Source organism: Homo sapiens, chromosome 1 (genome assembly GCF_000001405.40).
Source record: "Homo sapiens chromosome 1, GRCh38.p14 Primary Assembly".
NCBI lineage: Eukaryota > Metazoa > Chordata > Mammalia > Primates > Hominidae > Homo > Homo sapiens.
Window position 1 is genome coordinate 153,219,826 of NC_000001.11, and position 8,578 is coordinate 153,228,403.

Sequence of the window (8,578 nt, forward strand, 5' to 3'; positions counted from 1 at the left end):
GGTAACCGGCCTGCTGCCCCCCACCCATGGAGGAAACACAGGCAGTGGCCACTGGGGTTTGTGAACGGGTGGAGAGGGCACTGTACTGACATGAAATAACCACAGGCTGCTCCCTCGGCAGTGCCCCGAGCTCCGACCTGAGCCCAAAGGAAGCTATGCCAAGGACCAGCTTCCTAGGGGGGATGTAGCTTCTTACCCATTCTACAGGTGCCCCCTCCCTTCTCAATCCTCATGAGGAAGAGGTGGAGGGCCGGGACAGCCCCTCCTTGTAGGGCGTGTAGAGCTCTATGTCTCAGTCATTTGGCTAAACTGAGGGTCACTGAGTCTGTGGGTGACATGGACCAGGCCCTGAACTCCATGCACATTCTCTATGGGGATTCTAACAGCAGCCTTGGGGAGTTCCTGTGCTGCCCATTTGCTTAGGAACTTGTCCTAAAGCCAGTAAGTGGTGAAGTCAGGATGCTAACCCAAGTCCCTCTGACTCCAGAATGGAGCTCTCACTTTTGTAATGAAAGTGCTATGGCATACAGAAGAGATTTCCAGAAACTCATTCATTCATTTATCCACCTAAAACATGCTCCCTGATACCTACCAGGTGTCAGGCACCATGCCAGGTACTGGAGAGACAGTGGTGAACCAGGCAGTCAGTATCCCTGTGCAGAGTTACGAGCTGTCTCTTCTGCAGGCCACATGCACCAAGGATACCTTTCTGAAAACCTCCTGGATATCTCAAGTCCCTGAACATCTCCAGATGCCTGAATCACAGTTCTCTTGCCTCCTTGCCTAGTCGAAATAGGTTTTCTCATCCATTTTCCAACCTTGGAATAAACCAGCTGCTCCCCAGGGCCAGCAGCTCCCAGAGCTCCATCCTGCGGAGATGTGCCAGAGAGGCCTTCCTATCAGTGAAGCTTCTGTTCACAGACTCTTCTCCAGCTTGGCTCAAGTCCAAGAAACATCTTTGTTCTCCAGCATCAAAGGCATGCACAGATTGGAGTCCAAGATCAGACACCCAGGCATTAAAGGAAGCACGAGGCTAATGAACAGGGAGAGTCCAGACTTATCAGAGAGAGGGGAAATCTGCTGATTACAGGGGAGGCCTCTACGGTTAGGAAGGGGACAAGTCTGCAGATTGCAGATAGGAGAGCAAACGCCAAGCAGCCAGCAGGCCTTCATCTAGCTCTGTCATAGGAACCTCCACACCTCCTCATCCTCACAGAGGTCTGCCCCAGCCACTGCCTGGGCCACTGCTGCTGCAGCCTGGTCTCTTAAGACACAGACCAGGTCCACAGCCACAGAGGCCACAGGGACAGCTAGGACACAGCATTCAGACTTCCCCAGCTGCCGCTTCTGTGCTGAGCCTTTCAGGAAGTAGGGAGGGGCCTTACCAAGGAAAGCCCTGGATGTTAGGGGTTCTAGCTAACAGTTAACTCAACATGAGACAATAGTGGATCTGTGGGCCCCATATGCCAAGAGGAAAAAATACAAACAGACAGGAATTCACAGGAGGAGCTGTGGATTCACTCAATCACTCAAAATATTTATGGAGAAACTACTATGCCAAGCCAGACTCTGGAAACCTGCGACAGTGCCAGGAGGTGGGCAAGCAGAGCAGTGGCCTGAAAGACTTTCACATCAGGAAGAGTTGAAAAATATTTAGTCTACAAAAGAAAATACCCAAGGGAGTGGGACAGCTGAACTCAAATATTTTAAGTGCTTTTATGAGGGAGGAGTGAGATTTTTGTGAAGTGCCAAAGAACAAAGTTAGGACCCATGGGCAGAAATCATGAAATTGGGCTCAGTTTAAGAACTTTCTTATAATGAGATCTATTGGACTGCGACAGGAGCTGCCTTTAGATGCACTGTGTCCCATGAACTGGAGGTTTGCAAGCCAGTAGATGACAACCAGCTCCTCCCAATCCATCAAATACTGTGACTCCTCTAACTGTAACTTGTACGTGGAAATGGGACCCAGGGGCAGGGAGCCTCCCACGAAGGGAGATTCAGAAGACCTGACCGCAAGCTCAGGAGACAGGAAGTTTCCCTGGCTTCCAGAACACTGCTGGGAGGCTCTTCGGGGGGCCCAAACTTCTGGGGACCAGCAGAATGTGTGACCATGGCTTGAAACTAAAAGAAAGGAGGAAGACAGGTAAGTCATGGGAAGAGGCTCCCCCAGATTTGGGGTTTTCTTAATGTTTTTGGACCCACAAATGCTTCAGCCCTGAGAAGCACCCTACAGTAATTCCTCACTGCTTTCTAATCTCGTTCTTCCCAGCTGGGTTTAGTGTGCTCGCTCCCTTTTACATCTCATTTATTTACCATCCAGATACCCTTTCTCTTCTGTACCAAAGTGATCCGCCTGTTCTTCCACCTGACAACCCATCGCAGATTCCTTTCTGCCTTCACCTTCCTCTCTCCCACCCAGGACTCTCCCCTGTTTGTCTCAGCCAAACCAGGGGTTTCAACCTGACCTCCAGGAAGCCCTCCATGGTTTCAGCCTAGCTCCTAAGTACTGCAGCTTGGGCTCTGTGCTGCAGTGGCCGCAGGGGTCTGCAGCCCTCTACCAGCTGCCTGTATTTGAATGACACATGTCTCCTGTCAGCATGAGAGCCCAGATGACAGCTCCTGGGGCTGGCTGTGTTCTTGCCTGACTTCACAGGGCCCATCACAGTGAGGTCTGAGACACCTGTACGGCTGGCCACCAGCATGCCCCCTGAGCAGAGACAAAGCGGGGTGCTGGCTTCTAGACCACCTGGACAATCTCTTTTATTGATAGGGTAACCAGCTCATCTTGATTTGCCTGGAACTGTCCCAATTTTAGCACTGAAAGTTCTGAATCCTGGGAACTCCCTCAGTCCCCGACAAACTGGGATGGTTGGTTGCCCTAAGCACCTGTGTGTATAAGACATGATGCTTTGTTCCAGGTGGGGGAGCACAGAGGGAAAGCAGATGAGGCCCTCCATGCTGGAGGAACTTATAGCCCAAGGGATTTTTCTGGAAAACTGTAAACCCAGGAGGCCTAGTTCCCACTGCCTGCCCCCTCCATAGCCACATTCTCCATGAGCAGGGGTGGGGGCAGCAGGGGCTGGTGAGGGGTGATCAAATACTAGATCAATGAGCAGGTTCCCAGCCTAGGCCTGTTTCAGCATGAACTGGCAGGTCTTGACCAGGAGAAGTGGTATCGTGGGGGCCACCACCCCTATTCGACAGCAGATCTGGACTTGTCCACTCCTGCTCTCCTTCTCTCCTACGGACACCTGCCTCACATCTGAAAATGGTTGAAAGAAAATAAGTGGCCAGCTGGCAGGGCCTTCTCAACTCAACCTCCCTCATCACCCGGTTCCCAAGCCAGCCTCATAACCTGTCTTTCCTCCTTTAGAAGCCGCTGGGGACCGTTTCTCTTCTCTTCCCAACAGCACCACCTGCTGGCCATAGAGGCACTTGGCCTTCTACTAATCACACCCAGTCTGGCCTGAGTTGGAGATGGCCGCACACACTCCGGCCGTCAGTGCTCCATGTGGAGAAGACAAGAGTACAGAGATGCAGCATCTAACAGAGTCAGAGGAAGGCTATATGTGCAAGACAGAGTTACACTATTTATAGGGTGGGAGCAACACGAATAATGGTTCAGGACATAGGCTCAGGAATCAGACTTCTGGAATTCAAATCTAGACTCCACCACTTCTATTGTTCCCTTAAAACAAATTTCTCCTATGTGAGAGTAAGTGACACAGAATCTCCTATGAGCCAAGCACTGGAGTTACAGCAGCGAACCAGATACACAGAATCCCTGCCTCCCAGAGCTCACATGAGAAGGAAGACAGACAAAAAGCAACTCAGCAAATGCATAAATAAGAAAGTGAAAATGAAGAAAATGAAACAAAGTGGTGAGGAGAGACCAGAGAAGAGGGGTGCTCTTTAGCTCGGGTAGCGTGGAAAGGCCGATCTGAGATGGGGATGTCGGAGTAGCGACATGAACAATAGGAGGAGCCATCCATGTGGGATCGGGGTAAGTATCAGCGCAAAGAGAACAGCAGGTACAGGGAGTACTGCAGGTCAGACTGCCCCTGGAGCCTTAACTCGGATGCTGCATTTGAAGGTAGACCCTGGCCAACTTTTAGTTCATCCAAATTAATGTGAGAAAAAGAGCGAGGTCTCTGGGCACCTTGTCACATGAGCTGTGGCTGAAGGAAGGGGGCGTTTCATCCAGAGATGAGGAGACTTAGAGACACACAGTGGCTGTCTTCAGGCCTGTCAAATGTCAAAGAGAGAGGCAGTGGATATATTCTTTGTGATCCCAAGGAGAATAGCATGGATCAGTGAGTTCTGGGCACAGAAAAGCAGATTCTGCTCATATCAGGAATAAAATGGCCCAGCAAATGAAATGAGCTGCTCATGAAGTAGTGATCCCACCATCCATGAAATATGCAAGCAGAGACCAAATAAGTAGCTGAGATTATAGGAAGTGTGGATGCAATGCTTTTAATCTTTAATTATCACCTACTCTTGCACTTGAATTGCTTATAGGTTACCACAAGATTTTGCTTCTCTCTGAATACAGTAAAATAGCCTTTGTCAGCCAGTCCCTGAAGGGATGTCCGCCCCAGGGTTGGGGAACATCACAGCAAGGCAGGAGAAAACTGGCTGTTGGGTACAGAACACGCTTCTTGTCAAACCCGGAGCAGACTCTGGCAAAGATGAAAAGCGGAGGTCCTCACCTCCCTTTCATATGCTCCCCTTTTCTGTCCCAGCACCAGAAGATGGAACTTCCTTTTCCTTACAATGGTCTAAGAAAAAACTAGTCTAAGCAATTAGAGAAAATATCCTACAATTCCCAAGTCCTAAAAGTTTTTATGTTGCACATCCTGGTAATAAAAATATTTCAGCCTCACCAATAAACATATAAAAACGGTGTTCAACCTCTCATTATTCATCAGAGAAATGCAAATGAAAACCTCAAAGAGATACCACAACACACCGACTGGAGGGGATAAAAGTAAGAAGACAGAATCACAGTGTGGGTGAGGTTGTGGGAGTGCAAATTGGTACAACCACTTTGGAAAACTCTTTGACGGTCATGACTAAAGTAGAATGTATACACAGCCAATGACTGAACAATTCCTCTCCTAGGCATCTGCCCCGCATACGGTCACCAAAACTCAAACATTAGAATGTTCATTCTAGCTCTCATCAGGCATCCTTGTGAAAGTGGCATCACCTTTAAACCCTGCATGGCAACCCCTGACACACTGCCAGGCTGCCCAGGGAATACAGGGCAACCTGGAAGTCCAACTACTTCCTTCAGATCATCCAATTTTTCAATCATTATCTGAAATGTTTCATTGTAGAAGCAGCAATGTGGGCTCCAAGTAGATGCAGCAGATCCACATGTCCCTCTGAGGGAAAGCCATGGTGCCAATGGGCAAGAACACCATGATGTGCAAGGCCATCCAAGGGCACCTGGAAAACAACCCAGCTCTGGAAAAACTGTTGCCTCATATCCAGGGAAATGTGGGCTTTGCGTTCACCAAGGAAGACCTCACTAAGTTCAGGGACATGCTGCTGAATAGTAAGGTGCCAGCTGCCACCCATGCTGGTGCCATTGCCCCATGTGAAGTCACTGTCCCAGGCCAGAACACCGGTCTGGAGCCTAAGAAGACCTCCTTTTTCCAGGCTTTAAGCATCACCACTGAAATCCTGAGTGATGTGCAGCTGATCAAGACTGGTGACAAAGTGGGAGCCAGTGAAGCCACACTGCTGAACATGCTGAATGAACATCTCTCCCTTCTCCTTTGGGATGATTATCCAGCAGCTGTTTGACAGTAGCAGTATCTACAACCCTGAAGTGCTTGACATCACATAGGAAACTGCATTCTCACCTCCTGGAGGGTGTCCGCAATGTTGCCAGTGTTTGCCTGCAGATTGGTTACCCAACTGTTGCATCAGTACCTCATTCTACCATCAATGGGTACAAGCAAGTCCTGGCTTTGTCTGTGGAAACTGATTGCACCTTCCCACTTGCTGAAAAGGTCAAGGCCTTCTTGGCCGATCCATCTGCCTTTGTGGCTGCTGCCCCTGGGGCCACTGCCACCACTGCTGCTCCTGCTGCAGCTCCAGCCAAGGCTGAAGCCAAGAAGAGTTGGAGGAGTTGGATGAGAATATGGGATTTGGCCTATTTGACTAATCACCAAAAGGCAACCAACTCAGCCAGCTTTATTTGCAAAACAAAGAAATGAAGGCTTACTTCTTTCAAAAAAAAATGTTTATTCTAGTGTTATTCATAATATCCAAGTATCAGAAAGAATACAAATACCCATCAATGAATAAATAAACGGTGGTATATTCAGACAATGGAATTCCATACAGCAATGTATACAAATGATCTACAGCTACACACAGCAATAAGGATGAATCTCACAAACATAAAGTAAGTGGCCAAAAAAAAGACACATAAAAAAGCATTAGGATGAAACATATGAAATTGCCATTTATGGAGGTCAAAAACTGTTCATAGGGTTCAACATAAAACACGCTGTATAGTTCCATTTATATCATTTATGTACAGTACAAAAGCTGGCCAAATAAATCTCTGTTGTAGACAGTAAGAACGTGGTTGTGTGTGTGTTGGTTGTAGTAGCGTGGTCATTGGATGGGAGAAGAAGGAAGGTTTCTGTGTTGCTGGTAACATTCTATTTTTTTATCTGGGGGCTGCTTATCTGGTTGTGTTCAGTTTGTGAAAATTCATTGAGGTGGACATTTACAATATATGCACTTTTCTGAATGCATATTTTAATAAAGAGTTGAAAGTTCTATTGGGGTTCATCATATAATACATACATATTATTTAGAAGCAATAGATATGTACTGTCATTCTAACATCATGAAAGTTAAAAGACAAACACAAAATACAGACAATTTTAAAAGAAAAGATAAAAATACATAAAGAAAAAATTCAAATTTTTTCTTTCTGCTCCCAATGAATAGTTTTATGCACCCTCAGTGAACAATCAGCTCTTCTGGAGATTTTTTATAATGAAGTCCTGGATTACGTAAATGCTGCATGATCTTTGGCAAATCTCCCAGCCTCAGTTTCTGCATCTGTAAAATTGCACTGATGATCACCCACCCATCCTAGATGGCTGTCCTCAGGATCGAATGAGGTATTTGTGGAAGTATTTAGTAATTTGTAAAATGTGAAGGGTTAATATGATTATTACTATTAGCAGATAGTTACTATTAACATAGATTTACATGATAGTGAAGCCAATTCTATAGTAAATAGTTTGGATTTCATTAAAAGTAGCTAGAGATTTCAAGAGGAGTGTTCCCCATCACTAGGATGGCAAAACTATCTGCCAAAGGTATTGTAGAGTGATTCCTGCACCAGGAAGAGAGTGGAAATAATAATATTAAAAGTGATAATAATGGTGAATATTATGTGGCAGATATTTTCTAAGCACTTTATGTATATTAGCTGCTATTATAACCGTTATAACAAGCAAAAGAAGGAGGTCATATTAATATGACTATTTTATAGACAAAAAACTAAGGCTCAAAGAAATTAACCTACGCGAGATCTCAGAGATAACAATTGAGATAGCCTAGTTTAGATGCTCTTCACATTACCCTCCAAAGCTGATGCGAGCATTCAAAATCTATTCCCATTCAGCAAAGTTCAGTCTAATATCAAGGCAAACTTCCTTTCATTAATCTATTACTCAGCAAGTATTTTTGAGCCCCTATTACATGCCAAGCTCTATACTGGGTATTGGGTATGCAATGATAAATAAGCAAACACAGTCCCTGCACTCAGAGCATATGAGCTAGTAAAAGAGGCAATCAATATAAGAAATACACAAAAATAAATACATAATTCTAAATTTTGTTACATTCAACAAAAGAAAGTTCTAGGTTATATAAAATAATGAATTGGAGAACCTAATTTAGATTAGAGATCAGGAAAATCTTCCATGAGAAAATAAAATTTAATCTGAAACTGGAGAGGTAGGAGGAGTTGTCCAGGTGACAAAAAGAAAAAAATTATAGTGAAAACAAAAGATGGTTCTGATATAGGAAAAGCCTGATTGTTGTCTCAGACACAAAGATAGAGAGTGAGAGGGACTGTGTCCCCAGACAGGGACAGGAGGTGTGTGGGCAGGAGCAGACCCCACAAGCCTCTGAGACCACGTGACAGGTTTTGACTTTTGCCCTAAGAGTGAAGCATTAAAGATTTTTAAGCAGAGAGTGACAAGATTCAATTTGCAGATTGTAAATATTGCTCTAGTTAAAGTGTGGAGAATGGATTAGAGGAAGCAAGCAAGAGGTGAAGCGGGAGCCACTGGGGACACCATGGCTATAGCCAAGTCTCTGTGCAGCAGCAGCCACCATTTCCAGAAGCAGCTGGGAAAGACTGAAGGAGGAACAGGTTTGGGTGCAGTCCAGGTAAGAAGACCAGGGGCTCAGTTTTGAACCTGTCAATTTTGAGACGCATACAGAATAACCAAGCAGAAATACAAAGTAAGCACTTACATCTATGAGTCAGGAGCGCGGGAAAAATTCAGGAATGGAGATCTACACTTGG

General features: G+C 45.9%; 1 pseudogene; it reads left to right on the forward strand.

Annotated features, from left to right (window-relative positions):
- Positions 5,182-6,252, forward strand: RPLP0P4 (ribosomal protein lateral stalk subunit P0 pseudogene 4; annotated as a pseudogene).